This window comes from Homo sapiens, chromosome 18, assembly GCF_000001405.40.
Source record: "Homo sapiens chromosome 18, GRCh38.p14 Primary Assembly".
Taxonomy (NCBI): domain Eukaryota; kingdom Metazoa; phylum Chordata; class Mammalia; order Primates; family Hominidae; genus Homo; species Homo sapiens.
In genome coordinates, this window is record NC_000018.10 from 33934042 (window position 1) to 33956509 (window position 22468).

The 22468-nt window shown below is 34.5% G+C and overlaps 1 protein-coding gene across 30 annotated transcripts in view; it reads right to left on the bottom strand.

Annotated features, from left to right (window-relative positions):
- Window positions 1–22468, bottom strand: part of NOL4 (nucleolar protein 4) — a 373814-nt gene that overhangs the window by 82942 nt on the left and 268404 nt on the right. For 29 of the 30 annotated variants that reach the window (XM_047437902.1, XM_047437901.1, NM_001384470.1 and 26 more), the window contains one exon: window positions 9024–9137. The exons of the other annotated variant lie outside the window; for it this stretch is intronic. In XM_047437902.1, coding sequence (XP_047293858.1) covers window positions 9024–9137 — 114 coding nt within the window. The remainder of the gene's footprint in view (window positions 1–9023; window positions 9138–22468) is intronic. 30 annotated transcript variants of the gene reach the window in all.

Sequence of the window (22468 nt, forward strand, 5' to 3'; positions counted from 1 at the left end):
TGTTGGTTAGCAGGCATAAAAACAACATTAATCTCCTTGCACATCTCCATCAGAGCTCTTGGGTGACTAAGTGCATTGTCAATGAGCAGCAATATTTTGAAAGGAATCTTTTTTTTTTATTTCCTGAGCAGTAGGCCTCAACAGTGGGCTTAAAATATTCAGTTAACCATGCTCTAAACAGATGTGCAATCATCCAGGCCTTGTTGTTTCATTTATGGAACACAGGCAGAGTAGATTTTCATGAAATTCTTAAGGGCCCTAGGATCTTCAGAATGGTAAATGAAAACTGACTTTAACTTAAAGTCATCAGCTGCATTAGCCCCTAACAGTAGAGCAGCCTGTCCTTTGAACTGTGAAGCCAGGCATTAATTTCTTCTCTCTAGCTATAAAATACTAGGTGGCACCTTTTCCCAATGATTCACTACGATGATGTAGTGATTTCATCTACATTATAAATCTTTATTGTTTTAGTGTACCCACTTTCTTCAATTATCTTAGCTGGATCTTCTGGACAACTTGCTGCATTTTCTACCTCAGCACTTGCTGCCTCCCTTTCCATGTTTATGTTCTGGCAATGGCCACTTTCCTTAAATCTCATGAACTAATCTCTGCTGTAATAGCTTCTGACTTTTCTCCTGCAGCTTCCTCACCTCTCTTACTCTTCATAGAATTGAAGAGAGTTAGGATCTTGCTCTGGATTAGGATTTGGTGTAAGGGAATGTGGCTGGTTTGATCTTCTATAAGACCATGAAAACTTTCTCCATAACAGTAATAAGGCCGTTTTGCTTTTTTATCATTCTTGTGTTCACTGGAGTAGCACGTTTTTTTTTTTTTTTTTTTTGATACAGGGTCTCACTCTGTTGCCTGGAGGCGGTGGCACAATCATGGCTCACTGCAGCCTCAACCTCCTGGGCTAAAGCAATCCTCTCACCTCAGCCTCCCAAGTAGCTAGAACTACAGATGCACTGCGCCATGCCTTGCTAATCTTTTAAAAAACATTTTTGTAGAGATGGGGGTCTCACTATGTTCGCCAGGCTGGTCTGGAACTTCTGGGCTCAAGCAGTCCTTCCACCTTGGCTTCCCAAACTGCTGGGATTACATGTGTGAGCCATCACAGCCAGCTGAGTAGCATTCTAATATTCTCCAAGAATATTAAATCTCCTTCACACTTACAACTTGGCTGTTTGGTGCAAGAGGCAGAGCTTTAGGCCCATCTCGGCTTTTCAACATGTGTTCCTCACTAAGTTTAATCATTCTAGCTTTTGATTTAAAGTCAGATACATGAGACTCTTCCTTTCACTTGAATACTTAGAAGCCATCATAGCATTATCAATTGGCCTAATTTCAATATTACTGTGTTTCAGGGAATCAGAAAGGCTGAAGAAAGAGAGAGACAGGGTGATGGCTGGTGGGTGGGGTGGTCAAAATACACACATTTATTAAGTTCTTTGTCTTAATTTGGCATGGTTCACGGTGTCCCAAAATAAGTACTATAGCAACACCAAAGATTACTGATCACAGATCACTATAGCAGATATAATCATGATGAAAAATTTGAAATATTGTGGAGAGTTACCAATATGTGACATAGAGACACACAGTGACCACATGCTGTTGGAAAAATGGTGCTGACAGACTTGCTCACAAGATTGTCACAAACCTTCAATTTGTAAAAACTGCAATATCTGTGAAGCACAACAAAGTGAAGTTCAATAAAATGAGGAATGCTTGTGCTTCATTTTTCCTATATAGTATATTTTCTTCTGTGAATGAAAGTGTCATGTTGAAGCACATTGAGAAACTCAAAGATACAGGGTTTTCCCCCTAACATATGTATGTAAGAGAGAAAAATGCCAGGAGTAAAGTAAAAAGCTGAGGATGACTGAGAATAAGTGTGGACTGGCAGGCCATAGAAATAAGTTTCAAGCCATATCTTGTTAATATCACAATGTCTAAATTTAAGAATAAAACCCTATTGAATGGTGTTGCTTTCAGTTAGGTATTTGTTAAAGTTTATAAATGTTATAAAAAGGACACAAAACTGCAGAATTAAATGTGAAAGAAAAGCTGCCTCTCATAAACCATGTCTTAATCATGGTATGTTAGATAGTTTTAAAAAAAAGTCATATTAAAATTGCCCCCACGCTTACGTGGCTACATTTTCAACCTTTGCACCTGCAATTACATTTCTTTAATAATATTCCAACTTATTAGTATCCTAATAAAACAAAGAAAAATCATGAAGAGACACAGATGACAGTGAATTCACCACTACTAAGGGAAAAAACAGTTGCAAGGAATTATACAGTTACTAAATATTTTTAGGTCCTGGGCCATTGGGTTCATGCTGGTTAATTAGCAGTGAGTTTTTTTTTTTTTTTTTTGGTAACTTAGTGATGTATAAGTTTTCAGTACTTTATTTTTCTTCTTCCTGACTTTTTATTACACCACAGGTAAGTAACGTGCCATTTCCCCTTCCCTCCACTGTGTTCTTTTCAATAGAGTCAATGGTGTCACATCACAGTCAACCATTGGTTTCCCGTGTGTCTTAGCTACTGCAAAATCTGTCACCCAGCATTCCCGCTTTGTCCTTCTAGGGCAGTAACTGCTGGGCTCCTGCTGGGGAAGCCCTTAACTGGTGGTTTTATATGATCTTGTCTACAGAACTACGAACTAATTTAACTGAAAGCACTAAGAGCAGAAAACATAACAAGGAAACCCTCACATTCTCCAGAAACTTTCTACCTTAATCAGTCATCAAGCCTGTTAATAAAATGTATGTCATCCCTCAAAACCAGCAAAAATAATACACTGATAGGAGATAAATCACCAACAAGTAACTGGTTCTAATCCCTCTTACTTTTTGCCTCTTTGTCTTCAAATGAAATGTAACCAATAACTATAAGATCTTTTTGGTTTAAGGAAAAAGAAATAATTACTAAATAATAAATATATAGAGAAAAGAACCCACAAATTTTGAGCTATGTCATAGAACTCTAAATGCGAAATCTGGCTGCCCCTTTTGAATTGTCAAAGTGAAGAAGAATTTCCTAGATAACGTAAAAAATACAAATTTTATGTTAAATCTAGAAAAATGCTATATATATTCCAAACTGCATTGCGAATGGACTTCTGTGAAATCTGATTCCTGATGAAGGAGCAGTAGGCTCCTGTCCTTGCCACTGGCTTGCTTCAGGGCTGAGGCTGCATAATAACAAGCTTCCTCTGGATTTTGGTACAAAATGGACATATGGAATAAAGTATTTAACACATCCATACCACCTCTCATGTTCATAGCTCAAAGAGCTTTATAAAATCCAATTAATTCATCAAGCTTCATAAACTCTGAAAGACATACATAATTACATCTCTACATGTGGCTAACCACTGGCAGCAAGCAGTCAGATGAGTGGCTTAACAGAAAGCCAATTTTGAGTGTTCATGTTTTGAACTTTTGTGTGCCTACAGAAAATTGGGGGCATAATGAAGAATCTCTTAGTCACTGGAAAATTCTAAAAATTTTGAGTCAGGTTAAGAATGCACACAGGAAGAGTGATCTTCTTGCTAACATGCAAAAGAACTCTGGCTCTCTCTAGTTGGGCAAAGAGGGGTTTGATTCAACTAATAGAGGGATCCCTGCCAATTACATGCTTTGGTAGGAAGTAGAATCACTTGGTAGAAGTTTCTGTGTGACACAGCTAAGGAAATCTATAGAATTTACAGCAAGAAAAAAGTAGTTTATACACTTTTAAGATACTAATTATAAACAGTAAACTAGTGTTTACAGTGCATAAACAGCTCTCCAGATGAAGTGAAGCACTTTGGGAAGTTTGTAGCCTTTTTTAGGCTGATATCCAGGCAAACTCTAGATTGCTAGTTATAGTAAAGTACAAAATTTTTGTAAATAAAGTAAATCATTTTCCACAAGAAAACTGCACTGCCAAAACCTTGTAAGCAGAGGCACAAATGATACAAGTCCTAAATGTTTGTTCTAGGCTATGGGTTTCCCTCCATGAACATAATACATGAAAATACATTATAGGATTGTGAAAAGATGTCAGGCATTAGTTTTATCTAATATAAACTCATATTCTGGCTTTCTCGTGCAGCTGGTGGCCTTGCACAAATCATTCCACCTCTCTGGGCCGCAGTTTTCTTACATGTAAATGAGAATAATAATATCCTTTCTCATGGGGTTGTTGAGAATGGTAAATGAAACTGTATCTAGAAATTGCCCAACAAGTTTTTAGTAAATCTTAAAAGAGTTTAATTTAAAAAAATTATTTCTTCATTATTCCCCACAATTCCAAAGCTTTTTGAACCCTTCTGGGTTTGAAAATAATATTTTTCCCACCAACCGTGTAAAAGCATTGCTATTTCTCCACATCCTCTCCAGCATCTGTTGTTTCCTGACTTTTTAATGATCGCCATTCTAACAGGTGTGAGATGGTATCTCATTGTGGTTTTGATTTGCATTTCTCTAATGAGCAGTGACAATGAGCTCTTTTCATATGTTTCTTGGCCGCATAAATGTCTTCTTTTGAGAAGCGTCTGTTCATATCCTTTGCCCACTTTTTGATGAGGTTGTTTTTTCTCGTAAATTTGTTTAAGTTCCTTGTAGATTCTGGATATTAGCCCTTTGTCAGATGGATAGATTGCAAAAATGTTCTCTCATTCTGTAGGTTGCTTGTTCACTCTGATGATAGTTTCTTTGGCTGTGCAGAAGCTCTTTAGTTTAATTAGATGCCATTTGTCAATTTTGGCTCTTGTTGCCATTGCTTTTGGTGTTTTAGTCATGAAGTCTTTGTCCATGCCTATGTCCCAAATGGTATTTCCTAGATTTTCTTCTAGGGTTTTTATGGTTTTAGGTCTTACGTTTAAGTCTCTAGTCCATCTTGAGCTAATTTTTGTATAAGGTGTAAGGAAAAGGTCCAGTTTCAGCTTTCTGAGTATGGCTATCCAGTTTTCCCAACACCGTTTATTAAATAGGGAATCCTTTCCTCATTGCTTGTTTTTGTCAGGTTTATCAAAGATGAGATGGTTGTAGATGTGTGGTGTTATTTCTGAGGCCTCTGCTCTGTTCCAATGGTCTATACATCTGTTTTGGTATCAGTACCATGCTCTTTTGGTTACTGTAGCCTTGTAGTATAGTTTGAAGTCAGGTAGTGTGATGCCTCTAGCTTTGTCCTTTTTGCTTAGGATTGTCTTAGCTATATGGGCTCTTTTTTGGTTCCATATGAAATTTAACATAGCTTTCTCTAATTCTGTGAAGAAAGTCAATGGTAGCTTGATGGGGATAACAATGAATCTATAAATTACTTTGGGCAGTATGGCCATTTTCATATTGATTCTTTCGATCCATGAGCAAGGAATGTTTTTCCATTTTTTTGTGTCCTCTCCTATTTCCTTGAGCAGTGGTTTATAGTTCTCCTTGAAGAGGTCCTTCACATCCCTTGTAAGTTGTATTCCTAGGTATTTTATTGTCTTTATAGCAATTGTGAATGGGAGTTCACTCATGATTTGGATATGTTTGTCTGTTATTGGTGTATAGGAATGCTTGTGATTTTTTGCACATTGATTTTATATCCTGAGACTTTGCTGAAGTTGCTTATCAGCTTAAGGAGATTTTGGGCTGAGACAATGGGATTTTCTAAATATACAATAATGTCATCTGCAAAGAGACAATTTGACTTCCTCTCTTCCTATTTAAATACCCTTTCTTTCTTTCTCTTGCCTGATTGCCCTTGCCAGAACTTCCAATACTGTGTTGAATAGGAGTGGTAAGAGAGGGCATCCTTGTCTTGTGCTGGTTTTCAAAAGGAATGCTTCCAGTTTTTGCCCATTCAGAAGGATATGAACAGACACTTCTCAGAAGAAGACATTCATGCAGCCAACAAACATATGAAAAAAAGCTCATCATCACTGATCATTAGATAAATGCAAATCAAAACCACAATGAGATATCATCTCACGCCAGTTAGAATGGTGATCATTAAGCAGTCAGGAAACAACGGATGCTGGAGAGGATGTGGAGGAATAGGAACGCTTTCACACTGTTGGTGGAAGTGTAAATTAGTTCAACCATTGTGGAAGACAATGTGGCGATTCTTCAAGGATCTAGAACCAGAAATACCATTTGACCCAGCAATCCCATTATTGGGTATATACCCAAAGGATTATAAATCATTCTGCTATAAAGACACATGCACATGTATATTTATTGCAGCACTATTCACAATAGCAAAGACTTGGAGCCAACAAATGCCCATCAATTATAGACTGGATAAAGAAAATGTGGCACATATACACCATGGAATACTATGCAGCCATATAAAAGGATGAGTTCATGTCCTTTGCAGGGACATGGATGAAACTGGAAACCATCATTCTCAGCCAACTAACACAAGAACAGCAAACCAAACACGCATGTTCTCACTCATAAGTGGGAGTTGAACAATGATAACACATGGACACAGGGAGGGAACATCACACACCGGGGCCTGTCGGGGAGTAGGAGGCTAGGGGAGGGATAGCATCAGGAGAAATACCTAATGTAGATGATGGGTTGATGGGTGAAGCAAACCACCATGGCACATGTATACCTATGTAACCTGCACGTTCTGCACATGTATCCCAGAACTTAAAGTACAAAAAACAAAACAAAACAAAACAAAACAAAAACGGGGGAAAAAAAGAAAACAGTATTTTTTTGTGTGGAGATATTATTGGATATCCTCCATTCCTAGAAACAGAGCCTTGCAATAAATATATGAGGACATATAAAAAGGAGAGAATATGGAGAGTAGGGCCAAGGACCACTGGTCCTCATTCATTCTAGTCCCTACTCCTGGTGCAGGAGTAAGAAGTCCCATTTTTAATTATTTTTAGAAGTTTTTCTTCAGTGGGTAGAAAGTCTATGAAGTAAATTTGAGCTCAATGTAAAGACCTTCAAAAACAATGATAAATCTCTGACAGTAGGAAAGTGTGTCAGTAAATAGCAGATCTTTAGTACCAGTGTGAGATTTGAGATATTAAAGCAAATAACAAATATATCTTTAACAACATATAAACGTATGAAATACATAATGCTTTTATATGAATTGACTTATAAAATCCTCACAACAGCTCTATGAATCTGATATCTGTATGTCCCATTTTACAGATTAGGCCAACAGTATTTAAGTGACTGGATCAAATATCAGCTGATGACCAGCTTTGGGGAATATTGTAGAGTGATATTATAGGTAGTATATAATATGAATAAGTCATTTAATTTTTATAACAACTCCACATGATTAAAACTATATAGGGATATTCTAGAATGTACATTAGGTGGGATGTATAGCTAGACAACAACCAGGAGAGCCCTTTTAATCCCAGAATTCTACAATCTCAATTTCTAGAACTAGCATCTGTTCTCAAATGGACTTTGCCTTTGAAACTTCAGTATCTGAGGTAGTGTTATTAATGCCTGCTTCTAGTTAACTGATATCAATACAATGACAAAACAGCTAGCATCAGTCTTTTCTAGACTGAATTTATTGATGCTTACTATGCACCAGGCAAAATGCTAAGTACATAACATGAATCTGTCATTTAAAGTTCTCATAACGACTCCACAGGATGAGTACTGTTACTATTGCTGTCTTTCATATGGAGTAATCAAAGCACACAGAACTGGAATAGCTTGGTGAAGTTTGCACAATTAGAAAAGGTAGAGATGAGATTCAAAACCAGGTCTATTTAGTTCCAGAATGTGCTCCCCTAATCACTATGCCAGATGGTATTATACATAGTGTTATAACTCATTGTATAGATACATTTTATAGATATAACAATGATAAAACTCCTAACAGAGGGCACATATATGTGAATCAACACTGGTGGCACGATTAGCACATTCTAAATTGACATTTTCACATGGTTTTTATCTGAGACTAATACTGTATTTTTCATTTAACTGAAGGCTTCATCTTTTGTGGCATTTAGAATTATTAGCACATGACATTTTAATAATAAACACATCAAATCAATGCTGATGTAATTCTGAAACATGTTAAAGTATTCTAAGCCTGAAATGAAAAAACGTTTTTGCTTTTTTCCTCGAAGTCCATTGGCTCACTGTAGAATCAAAATTGAACTAACTTACTTTAGTCTTGACTCATCTCATCCTCAATTAGCAATATAAAGCATATAATCCATTTGTTGTAAAAATACTTTACAAGTGAAAATGTGGCAAAGTTTTATGCAGAATATTTAGTATATCATGTGATAATTTAGATTTTTACTATGGATACTTGAGAAAGGGGGTACATACAACAAAGAGAAAGACATTTCTGGGATGAGAAGGAGAAACAGAAATATACAGATAACCCAAGGGAAAGACTGAGGGAAACACCAGTGAGCAAAGTACAAAAAAAAGAAACATCGCCAATACACAGATGCCTTAGAAAAAAGATATTGAAACATGACATGCAATTGGCATACAATAAATGATTAATTAATGAGAGATTAAGTCTAAGACATGAATTTTCATTATGTATATCCTCATTTTGTGACTTTCTAGTCTTTCAAAGTTGTGTTGTACTGTCACCACCCTCAGCATCATGTATTGGCATGCGGTAGTAGGCCAGAGGAAATTAAGGAGAGGTTGGTTCATTTCATTCGAAATGAACATGATCAGGTCACTCTCATAAGTCATGAGGTAAATTTACAAAGCTGTTGGAAATGATCAGCTAGAACCTCTTAATAAGTAATTGACCTTTAAATTGGATACTAAACAGAATCATAACTCGTTAGTTTTGCTACTGTTCATTTTCGCCACAGAAACATTTTGTTCTTTGACCTTCATTGATCACATGAACACACATTTTCAAGTTTAAATTCATATCATAAGGACACAAAAACTATATCTCTGTGTACTTTAAATCCATTCAAGAGCTTTTACTCTTCAACATAAATCAAATTAAATGAACTACATTTGCTATAGCTGGTGTTCACCAGACTTCAAGATGCCTCAGTACCTGCTGTCTCTCCAGACGCATCCTCTTGGCGGCATTTCTACTCTCACTCTCACAAGCTGAAGCCAAGATACTCTCTGCAACTGCTGAAGTAAGGTGGGAAGGAATAGGTCGAGACTAAAAAAAAAAAGAGAAAAGTATGAAAAAAATTATTAACAGTATCATTAACAGGCCAATGCTATTCTCAGAAGAGCTCTCAGGATCATCAACATGTGCAGGAATATCCATTTATTTCAACTGAACTTGTTTCAATAGAAAGAGGAAATGGAAATTGTAAAGATGAAAAATGAAAGCTAGTTAGAGGTTAAAGCTATCGTTGCTACACAGATCCATCATTCATTCCCATAGATCCATTGTCACAAGTATCTAGCCTGGGTCATGAAGCTGGAGTTTGAACAGGCAGTGGCAAAACTGCTGACTGGATTTTGCAAATAAAACAAGGTCTTTAATTCTACTACAACATATGACATGCACAAAAAAAACCAAAACAAAAACAAGTGACAGGGCTAAAATAGAGTTTAAAAAACCTAATAGACACTCAGACCATGTCAAACAGTCTTAATATGAAATATTATGAATATTTACACTCTAAATTATGACCCAATTGATGTGATTACAATGGTTTTAAATATAAATAATTAAAAACTAAAAAGTCAGTCCTACAATGATTTTTATATATTAAAGGTTTAGTGCTTTAGATGTGAGATATGTTTGCCTATGTGTACATGCCTGTTTTGTTTTACTTATAAAATATGAGCTGATATTTTATAGGGACGTGTTGAAATCCATCTTCTATGTAGCCCACATAGAAAGAATTAATTCTCCAACTAAGCTCATGATTAACTGTAAATTGTTTGCAGCTCTCAATATCATTCATGATAACCATAACAAAAATTATGATTTTCATTCTTTTTTCCATAATTACATGCAAAGTCATCCAACTGAAAGATGAAATACTTAATAATATAGAAGTTTTTTTTAAATTAAGATAAGCAAATGATAGATGAGAAATAACAAAATTAAACCAAATGAGGTAGTAAAATAATGTGAAATTATGAAATAAATGTATCTTTTGGGAATATAGCATATACAGTATATGCCACCTTAGGGTTTTCAAAGCCTCAAACGAAAATATGTGTGAATGCTATTTATTAGAAGCCTGAACTAATTGAGACCTTTTGAATTTTTTTCTAAAGGAATTGAAACAAACCTTTTTTATACATGACTCATTTTACCAACTCTGGCATGTAGAGTGTGTCTCAGCAAATTGAACACAGGGCTTACATCTCAAATAATATTCTAGAACAGCTAAATTCAGACCACACCGTTTTAACAGACACTCCATAGTTAAATTTGTACAGTGTAGACAGAGACCAGGCTCTGACCTTGGGTGAACTAGGAAGCAATTTCTGCAGCTGCCTTAGCAGACTTCCTCACTACTCCCCCTCCAAAGTAGCCTCTGGAGGCAAAAGGTAGGAAAGGTATAGGGTACATACTCTTCTGCTAACCCCATGGGACATCTCAAATGATGGTTACACTACTTTGACAATAAAGCAGTTGGATATTTGGAATGTCATTTTTGCAAAAAAGAAGAAAAGAGGTCCATGGGTGGCAGGAAAAAAATGCAATATAAGCATTTTGAGAAGGAAATTAGAAAGCCAGGACTGGGTATTTGTAATAGAAAAGAGGGTCAAATGAGGCAAATCTAAAATAAATTGCCATAAAGATGTAAGCATAATTTCAAAACTCATATTGCTTCTTCATTTCATTCTCTACTTCACTAAGTATAAAGAAAATATTGTAGTCCAAAGCCAAATAAATTAAGCTATAAAATCAGTCTCATTAACCGATGATCACTGCCTGGCTCAAAAATGTAGTCCAACTACATGGGAATTAGATACTCATTGATATCTTTCTTGATTGAGCTAATTTTTGAGGCAAAGATGTTATAGGAAAAATGGGAATAAGAACATTACATTATCAAAAAATAAAACAAATTATTTGATTGTAGTTAGCATTATTCAAATAGGAGTGAGAGTTTATATCTTTATAAAGTACATTATTAGATCTTTTGTTTCCAGGGATGAAATTAAGAGAATCTAAATAAAATATCAGCAACCATCCTTTTCTTAATCCAATTATTGAGAGCCACATGGGATTCAGAGAGACATATTCAGTTCTTCGTTACCTCGATTTTTCTCTCTTTTTTTCAGCTATCACCATTAAAAATTAGGAATATATAAAGCTATAGAATTTTACTAAATGATTACATTGTATCAATAGGCACACAAGTAACTTAAATACATAAAAGTTCGTTTAACATGGAGAACGTAAGTAAAATACCCCTTCAATTAATATTATTTCATGGCATTTTCTTTCAAATTCTTATTAATTTTTAAAAACAACTTTTACTACTCAACTTCTACTAAAGCAGTAAAAGTTGTTATGCATAATAATTTATGTAATTTCCTTTTCAGAAAAGATGAAAGGGAGAGTTGGATCTTTCCTAGATGTGTGAAATTAGTCTTCTCATAAACTAGAGTAATGTCCTGGCTAATTAGAACTAGATATATTTTAAGGTCATGTGATAACCTAATATTTAAAAATTAACTTCAAGATAAAGCAACCATGCACACTATCCTATTGAGTGGAAAAAATAAGTAGAATCAAAGATGCATGATTCAATACTTCCCGTAGATAAACAGTATAATTTTGAAAATAGATTTGTACTGAGTTTATTGTAGGATCATAAGTTGACAACTCTCAATGGCCATAGAAGTCATCCAGTACAAGTTTCTTCTCTCAACTTTGAAGAACTGAAACCTAGGTAGATTAAGTAATTGCAAAAGGACAAATTGAACTAGATCCAGAACTCAGGTTTCGTGTCTCCCAATTTTCAACTCTCACTTTCCTAAATTCTGTTGTATATTTAGTACTTTTACATACTTTGTCATTAATAAAACAAAAAATTCTTTAAAAAATCTGTATATACAAACCATTGTTTTCAACTAAAAAAATAAGCAGAACAAAGGTAGACATGTACATGAATGTGTTATAATCATCATTAACTCAAGCTCATTGGAGAAAAAGGCAGAATAAATCATAAAATCTGTGTTACAATCAAAAAATTATATTTTAAATGTATTTTTGCAGAGAATGTACTATATCTCAATAATGTGTACCTCCAAATAGAAATCCAGTACCATCCTAATTTAATTTTTAGATAAATGTTAATAATATCTAACTCTTATTGAGTGCTTAGGACATTCAGGTATTAATACCAAAAGCTTAGATTTATTATCAAATTTAATCTCCTTAACAATCTTTGAGAAAAGTACTTATATTACTCATATTTTAGATAACCTACATTCAAGTTCTGAGAGATTATGCAACTTGCTCACAATTATGCAGCGATGTATGTGGAAATACCTGAATTCAAATTCAAGTCTGATGATGAATTGGGAGTTATAATCCCTAGTGAACTATTATTCACATTTTACAACAAAGTCCCCACTGAGTTTAAATAAATCTAGAATTCTTAAATACTACACATTCCTGTGAGGAAATTCAATCACAGCTAACCACACATTGCATTTAGCAAAGAATATATCAAGATCTCCCTAGCATCCTTCAGTTAAATGGTTGAAGTCCTTTAATATATTTTCCTATAAATTCTATAAATTATGAAATTTATGATCTTCATTAAAAGCACAAAGACAAAAATGTAACTTAGCTAAGTTATGCCACAAATTCTTAACTGATGTAATCTGAATTCATAAGATTTTAAAGTTTATACAGCCAGAAGTGTCAATAAATTACTATACACGAACCATAATAAAGCTTAATTTCATGCCCAAAATGAGAATACAGGAGCCAGGCAGAAAAGTTCTTTCCCTCCTGTGAGGCAATCATGCTAAAAATCTCTTTGCTTCTAATATTAATGAGCCAATAATAAATGCCAATACTCTCCAATACACACAGGGCTCAAGTGTGCAGCATTTGGTTATAAGATAGCAAAGACAAAAGTTTAAAAAAATTTCTCTATAATTTGGCTTCTATCACTTAACAACTCAAAAGTACTAATATCGAGAGAGTGAGAAGGAAATTAATAAATTTTTCTCATTATAAAAGTAATATTACAGAGAAATTTAAAACTAGTGTTTAGTACGTGCTCTGAGAATCATCTCCTTCTGAACTCTCCTTTTCATCATTACATTTGACAGTTGAGGGCTTATTCTAATGTCACCACAGTATGGTCTTTCTAAAACATAATTAGCAGAGTGTGTTAGGGAATATGGTCATAGATTTCACCAGGAATGAGGCTGAAAATTCCCTCTTACATTTGTAAGAGTGGCCATAAAACACAAAGCTTCCATGTAATAATTGGAGATAGGAATATTTTGATGCAAAAACCAAATGCAATAAATTCAATAGATAACTTATGAAAATAACACCTCCTGTGGCTGAAGATAACTCAGTAAATACATATACTATTTGATATCTATCTCTCTCTTTCTCTATCTATATCTTAGAATATTTAAAATATTAGTTTACAATGGATTTAATTATACACTTCAAATGATCTACACCTGGATTGGGAATATTTATTACATATTTATTTCTCTGTATATAAGATAATGGTACCTACCCTCATTAATTATCTCTTCATAATTAACTGACATTCTAACTGGGATCTGAGTTGATCTTTCTCCAGCACTGTTCTTATTGTAATAATTATCACTGCTCAAATCAGTGGCAGTTGTGTCATTAAACAGATGGCTAAACCATCACATGGAGCTTTTGGAGTTTAAAAAGTCACATTTTAATTGGGGACTTAAGATGTAATTGCTGTTGGCATGATGTAAATGTGTCTCTTCTTATATATGTTGATAAAATGTACCGTCACACCAACAAACTTCCATTTTTGTGGGTCTAAAACTATACATGAAATAACTTTAGAGTCCTCTGAACTTCAGCTGTACATTTAGGATGCCACAGGATTTTTGCAATTACAAAAAAGTACAAAGAAATTTAAGAATGTCAGGTTATGGTCATGGGTTAATGTGGTGATGCTCTTCAGACTCCACAGTTAATGTGAAGCTTAATCAAGTATTAGTTAAGGCCAGATTGGGAGCAACTGTGACATCCACCCAAGGTTGTAAGTAGAATGAGCACTTTGAAGATAATAATTCAGTAGTCAAGAGTTTAGGTAGTGTGATGAATTAAGATTATTCCTCCTAAACTTGTTACTTTATAAAACACATTATTAAGAATTCTGTAATTTGGATGGTACGCACACACTATCTCCCCCAAGTGGCATATCTATACCTAAAGGCATAATTGTCCAGGTTATATACATATATAAAGTTTCATGTTCTAAGAGATTCCTTCTATTAAGCAGGTGGTTTCATTCTTATACAGCAGTGGAATAGAGATAGTCTGCAACTAAGTCATACTGAACTGAATATTATTCTATAACCAGCTACTTGCCATGTGACCATTTTTGCAACTTAATCTGAGTCTCAGTCATCCTGCTAGGTATCACTATTTTTATTCTTAAAAATGACAAAACTGAGGTTCAGTCAGAAAATTATAAATAAGGAAAATAATCTCCACATTATGGAGTAGTTTTTAGAAGTCCATGAGAAATGTGCATAAAGTCACTAGCATATTTTATAAGCACTTTTATATATGATAGGAACTGTGCCAAGTTTAGAGATTTGAAGATACCAATATGGTCTCTGCCATCATAGAGTTTACTTGACAAGTTGGTACAATGCCTAGCACATAGGTTATAACTTTATAATATACACGGAAGTGCATTATTAAGAGTGTGTTTAGTAGACTCACAACCTTTTGTAATCAATTCTGAAGCTCTAATATTGTATAAACCTAAAAGATTTTTCAGAAACTTGGGATAAACTCAGCTGGCAGAAAAAAACTGATAAATGAATACCTAAGGTTTTACTTTTTCCTAATTTCTGTGAATATGCATATGTTTTGCTGCAGAAATACTGATATATTTTTATTTGTGATGTTTTTCTAGGCCCCACTATGGGTGTTATGCAACAAACCTAGTATGCACTCTATCATGTCCCAAAACTGAAAAGTTCTAAATTCCAAACCATAGATAAGCCAAGATTTCAGACAAACTGGTGAATGCAAACTAAAATAGTAGTTCAACTGTCCTTATTTCATTCCACATGGTTTTGATGGAAGTCATAAAGAAAGTTCCTTCCTCAATTAACCCTGGCCACCTGAGTTCGTCCTGGGCAATCATGGGAACTCAATACTTTGTTTCCAATGACTGATCCAAGAAGGTGGACATATAATCCAAATAGGGCCAAGCAAAGTTCTTTCCTGGGAACTGAGACCTGGAGTTGGAGGATTGATCTTGGGTTGTGAGTTTTAAGAATGGAGGCCTGGAACTGCTGGTGGCAACATTTCCAAACAGGTAGCAAGAAGTTGTCTAAGATGTAAATCAATACACAAGAGAAGCATAATTAAGAAAAAGGAGAGCAGCAAACCCCTGAAATTGGAGCCCGTGGATCTACTATGTGTGAATTCTTGAACTTTCTAGTTGTTTTGAGAAAATTCTCTTGACTAAAAGGAGTTTGAAAGTGTGTTTTAACAGAAGTGGAATATAAGCCAGTTAACCTTTGTCTAGGCTTTGATTAGAAATATTTCATTTATGAATTAATGATCTATGTCTTGGCCTTATTTTTAGAATATTATTGGTCATTAATAATGATCTTTTATGACTACATGGGGAATTAATAAGTCTTCTAGTTGAAGATTTAGAAACACAGTTTAGTTAATAACAGCTGACAACGCCTCTGATCAAGACACAGGATCAACTAAATTAACAACTGAAATAACATGCTTTAATTTTAACTACATGATCCTTTATGTTAAATATATAAAATATATTTTGTATATACTATATACACTGTATATATTCTGAAAGTTGAGTGTTATATAAACTTACAATTATTGTACATTATGATGTAGATTTCCTAATTATTTATTTGTGAAAATAAAAGTGTATACCAATTCCATTCATATAATTAATATCACTACCTATTCCCACTAATTGTTAAATAGATTTAAATTTTTTTAATGTATCAATTCTTGGCCTTTTGGTTAAGATCAAGTGTAATTTTTTTTTAACACTTTAATAGTTTAAAAAGAGTTAAAATTAAATGTTATATAACTGTTTTCTTTTGTGAAAAAAAAACTCGCTAAACATTTAAAATATATTAGGCTATATTTTCAGTTAGTAGTAGCTTTTAAAATTAAAATACCAGTTGCAAGATGCTATGAAACTCATGTCACACAATAAAAATTATCTTATCTCTCAACTAATTTCTACCACAAAGAAGCACATTAGTAAATATCCATCCAGTCACTCAATCTTTCATTCAGCAATTTTAATTCAGTTGAATTCAACATGAATTGAGCAACTTTCATGAGCAGCTACTTGTATTATATAAGACATTGTGGGTGATACAGAGATGAACAAGTTAAGAAGCATAGTACTCAAGGAACATAATTTCTTCTTGAAGAGCTAAGGCCCATATATGGATAACAGCAATATAAGACAGGATAAAATAAAACTACAAAAGATGTACCACAAAGTACAATTTGCACACAGAAGAAAGAGAGATTTGAGGCTGCTGTTAGCTAGCAGTGAGGATTAAATAGACAAAGACCTAGTTGACTTAGTCCTTCAAGTAGCTCAACAGATTGACAGTGCAGGTTTCCCAGGAAAGGGAACTGTGAAATTCAATTTCAGATTAAATTGCATTTTATCACATTTCTCACACACACCAGGTACCATACTAGGTGTACCAGGTACTGTCCTAGGAGTTTTTACATTTGTTATTTCAAGTGCTTTTGGTTTTCATTTTTAGGATAAGAGCTATTATTTCCATTTTTCTTTTCCAGGGTGAGACCAAAGCTCAGAGATAGAAAATCAACAAGTAGCAACTGGAAAAGCACAGACAAGAACCAAGGCTCACTGACTATCAAATCCAGGTGCTTTTCTTCAGATGCTCACCAATGCTGCTAATTTTTTATTATTTCCTTTTGGATTCAGTTTCCTTCTTCTTAGATTATAGAAGCATTCCTCTGGAATCAGTCAGGCTGTATGAGTAGTAGCCTCAGAAATTATCTGAAGTATTTCTTTCCCCCTCACTCTGAAAGTAGAGCTGAGCTGGGCATTGATTTGTGAATTAAAAGTAGTTTCTCTTGAAGACTTTTTTTCTTAGTACTTTGAAGAAATTGTTCAGGCTGGTTTTCGGTTGTAGATAATGTGTTATTTCTTTCTGGTACATTTAAGAATTTATTTGCTCTTCTGTGGTTTTACTATAATATCCCTAGGTATGAGTTTTTTTAAAAAAAATGTATACTGTTTAGGACTAATCTACTTATCTGTTATTAGGATTGAGGTCCAATCAATTCTGAAAAATTCTTCATCATTATCTTTTTCAATTTGCCTTTTTATTGTAATTTCTCCTCTGGAATGCCTGTTAAATCTATCTTTATCATTCTCTTATCCATCTTCATTTCTTTTTCATATTTAACTTCTCTTTTCTTCCTGTGGGTAACTTACATACTTCTGTGTTCCAGTTTACTTTCTCCTTGCCTGAATATTATATTCTACTTAACCCATTTAGTAAGGTTTTAATTTCAATGCTTATAATGTCTGTCATTTTTATTCCTGAAAGTCGTATTAGGTTATTTCTTAATTCCACTTTCATAGAGAGGAAAATAGAGAATGAGCCTTTCTTGGGCCCAGCTTTATATACATTTCTCAGTTTATATGCCTATCTAGTTACAAACTAAAATGCATGTATCCTGAACTTGGGTGGACATTCATACCCCAGCCCTAATCTGTCTGGTTCTACATTTACTTTTTCTATCTTTCTAAGTTGTTACCCAATCCAAAGGGCTTACAATTTTGGCTAAGAGTTTCCTACTCATTTCAGGTACCTGGAAATTTCCTTTTCTTTCTTTTGAGCTTAGCTGAATATTTTTTAAATTGTTATATTATATTCAGGATTTGTATGTGTTTGTGGTGGGAAGCTGGGTGGGGTGTGTGAATGTGAAGAGAACATACCCCATGAGGCTCAGGTCAACACCTTGCTTAAAGTAAAAGATGCAGTGATAAGTAGCTCTGAAAAATATATTGGCTATATTCTTTACAACTTAGTTATTCTTCAATTTTAATGCATTTAGTAAACAATGAGCAAAGGTACCCATAATTCCTGTGTCATAAAAAATTAGTGAACCAAGAGACAACCCATTGAAAGAAGGAGCAGCAGTCTCATATGATGAACTAAGGTTTGAAAGAATATAATTTGAACATACCAGAAGAAGGGATAGAAAGGTACCATATTATATGCTATACATATACATACATGATCACATATAGTACCCCAATAGCCCTATCCTTTAGAAGAGACTCAGAAACACCACACTTGTACAGGAATTGAACTAAGCAAGGCATTGAAGCTAGGTCTCTCAGTTTCAAAAGGTCATACGCTAAAACATTATAGAAAGAAATATGAAATTTGTTCTGCCAGGTGTGGTGGCTCACGCCTGTAATCCCAGCACTTTGGGAGGCCAAGGCGGGTGGATCACCTGAGATCGGGAGTTCAAGACCAGCCTGACCAACATGGAGAAACCCCATCTCTACTAAAAATACAAAAGTAGCCAGGTGTTTTGGTGCATGCCTGTTATCCCAGCTACTCAGGAGGCTGAGGCAGGAGAATGGCTTGAAACCGGGAGGTGGAGGTTGCGGTGAGCTGAGGTCATGCCATTGCACTCCAGCCTGGGCAACAAGAGTGAAACTCCGTCTCAAAAAAACAAAATGTTCTAACATGACAGAGTTTCACATTATCAAAGCCAAAATTGAGGAAGACTACTCTAGGAGCAAAGGCAGATTTATCATAAAGTCAATAAAAGTGAGGCATAGGATGCCTCAATTGGATGAGCCTCTTAAGTGCTGGAGTTCCTGGATGTTGTAAGCATTCTAGGTAGGAAGGGAAAGCCACTTTAAAATCTGGAAGCATTTATATGTAAGTGTGTCTGAAAATTGTCTAACGAGATGTTAGAAGAAAAGCGTTTTAATCTTCAAGATTTCAGTGGTTTCTAAATTTCTTTTGTGTAGGATATTTTTAAACTGCAAATACACATTCATTTTTTCTACCTAATTTTTTGCTCATAATTGTGTATTACTTTTCTTTTCAAAAAGATCTCAAGTCATATAATCTTCAGGTTTTACAAACCCTATTTCTGCCTCTGCCTAGGCATAATGTGTGTGAAGAGGGTAAGAGGAAAGTAGGGAGTTGAGTTAGGATTATGCAAGAGTACAGGTATGAGGTATGAAAGACTAGAACTAAAATAAGAACACATAAAATTGGAAACTGTAAGATTTATTTGGGAAACAGAATAAAGGAGGAATAAGCAGAATTCATTAAGTGGTAGGATACAAGACACAAAAATAGTCAAATCTCATTCTACATTTTTGAGCAATGGTAAAAATGACAATATGGTGCTATTAACAGCAGGCAAGTCAAGAGGAACTTACTGGTGTCTTGATAAATGAAGTGGAATATCAGTGGAGAAAATAGGTGCTGGAGAATATAGAGTTCAGTGTGATATAATTATTGCCCTAGTGTCCGACTGACATTTGGAATTAAATACCAAAGATTTGTATATTTTTGGTATTGTACTTTGAGAATAGGACACTGTACACAAGGACAGACATTTGTAATTGTGGTTAGGGTGATATACAGTACGTGGCTAAACACGGAACTGTAGTAACTGCCCAAAAGCAGGTAAGAGTAAATGAGGAGGAACAGAAACAACAAGTTTCAAGAAAAAGAGCATATACTTTAGTTGAATATGCAGTCTTTGAGTTTTGTGCAAAGGTGGTCATGTGATCTTTATAAGAACTAATTCAGTAGAGTCATCCTTTGGTATCTGTGTGGGATTGGCTCTAGCACCTCTGAGGATGCTCAAGTCCATTACACAAAATGGCATAGTATTTGCCTATTACCTAGGCACACTGTCTCATATACTTTAAATCATCTCTAGCTTACTTATAAATCTTAATACAATGTAAATGACATGTAAATAGCTGTTATACTGTGTTGTCTAGGGAATAACGACAAGTAAAAAATGTCTATACGTGTTCAATACAGGCACAATCCCCTTATTTTTTCCCCATATATTTTTCAATTAGTTGATTGAATCCATAGATGCAGACCTTGCAGATCTATACGGCTGACTACACAGTGGTGAGAACCATAGTCTGGATAATCTGAATGTAAGGGACTACTGCAGGATTTGGTGGTAATAGGTATAATCTGTGAGTATAAAATGCTCTTTCGAGAAACCTGAGAAAGAAAGATGAACTCAGATTGTAGAAGAAGAAGAAGAGATGTAACTTTTTTTGATATCTGAGAACTTTTTTTTTTAGGAAAAAGGGATTAAATGTTCCTCTCATTGAAAAGGGAAAACTGAATATATAAAACAGTAGGGGTGGTTGATGGAGCAATGCTCTGAAGAAGGTAGAATTATATGGGGGCAGAGATGTGAGGTTTATTTATCCAGGGCAAATAAGAACAAGACTTTTCCTCTGTAAAGTCACCAGAGAATACTTGAGAACATTTAGAAAACTTTGAAATTTTTAATATTGCTTGTTCAGGCTCTTGGAGTGATGACTAAGACCAAGGTGTATTCATGCTAATAAAGACTGAGGTGAAAGAGAGATCCAGATCCCTGAAGTGGAAAAGGTAAAAGAAATGTGAAATCAGCTTAGATATCAAAATTAATAAGGAGGATACTATGGGATGCAATTAAAAATAAAGATTATAAATAAAGATCTTAGAGAATGTGAATGTAACCTGGGGGATGGTAAATGACAACTATAAGACAGAGGGCAAGAGTTAGTACAAATAGCAAGTGGAAAATTCAAACAAAATGTGTTTGCTAATTAGCATCAATTAAGTTAATTGGTGACAAAGAGAAACACATAGTTATACTCATGTTGCGTGAAGAATATTAATAGCTACATAGGTATTATAAAGTTTTTATCAAGATCTTATATGAAAGGCTAGGTATATTTTTGATATAATTTTCAGTTTAAAGAATCGCTTAATTCATTTTTATAATACTTCTATTTGTTAAAAAGTTAATAGCAAGTGTCACTGTAGCTATTCCCATGCTTATGATATCAGGGAAACTATGTATTGAAAACAAGGTCTGATCCCTCTACTGTGAGCTGTGTTTGACAAATAGAAGCAAATGATCGAAAAGTTAAATCCTCTAAAAAAACATATAATTTCCTAAACATGAAAGGCTTGCTTTCTGGTGCTTTCATAATTAGACTATTTATTTATTTGTTTCTAAATTTATATCTCCTCTTTTCCATTAAAATTTATCAAATCCACCAAGGAAAGTTGTCTCCACCAAGATAAATTAAACAGAAAGACAATGGAGAGTTTGGCTCTGAACTCCCTGGCAGTAAGGCACAAAAGTGAACATATTAAGGTTCACAGTCCCGGTGTTGAGAACAGGTAAAAGCATTCCATTTCCTCAGGAAAACAATTATTTTTCTTGCATTAAATTCTAGAAGAAACTTCTGAAATCAGATTTTCTGTCATGGACATTTAGCAGCCTAGTAAACAATGACCTTGACAATACAAAAACTTGCATGAGATTTATTTCTACAAGGGAAAAGAGTCAATTGCATAACATTAAAAGCAACTATCTAGGTAATTTTTCAATAGATTGAGATTATTAAATTTAAATATCTAGGCTATTTGGTTTAACTAGGTACAGTGGCAAAACTTGGGATACAAGAGGAGCAATGGACTAAAAGTCTCCTATATATTCCCTAAATATTGTCATTTGGGTTTTACAGAAATACATGTATGCACCTTGGTGAAAGAGTCTCATAATGCAAATTCAGGAAACAAAAAACAGAAATCATGTCACCTATTGGAGATGCCCTACCTTGTTCATAAAGCTGTGCTTTTTATGGACTTTTCTATTACTATGAATTTAAGATCAGGACACCTTCTGGAACAATAAATATTCTTCAGAGAAATTGCTGAATTTGAGCATCAAAGCCACACAACAGACTCAATAACAATTTGATATATTTGTCTACAGATTAATTTAATGGTTACTTAACTCATTGGGTTTCTAAAATCTAATGAAAATGAAGACAGTATTGATCAAACATTAGATTTATTAGATTTATCTTTCATAAAGCATGGCCTTTTATATCCAACTCTGGAGATTTTATGATTTGAGATAATTGGTACAGACATACTCTGAAACCTCTCTTATGTACACCAATTCCTACCCAATCACACCTAACTAATTAGATTCACAGATCACAAACACTAACAGCCTAGGCTTTTATGGCGCCT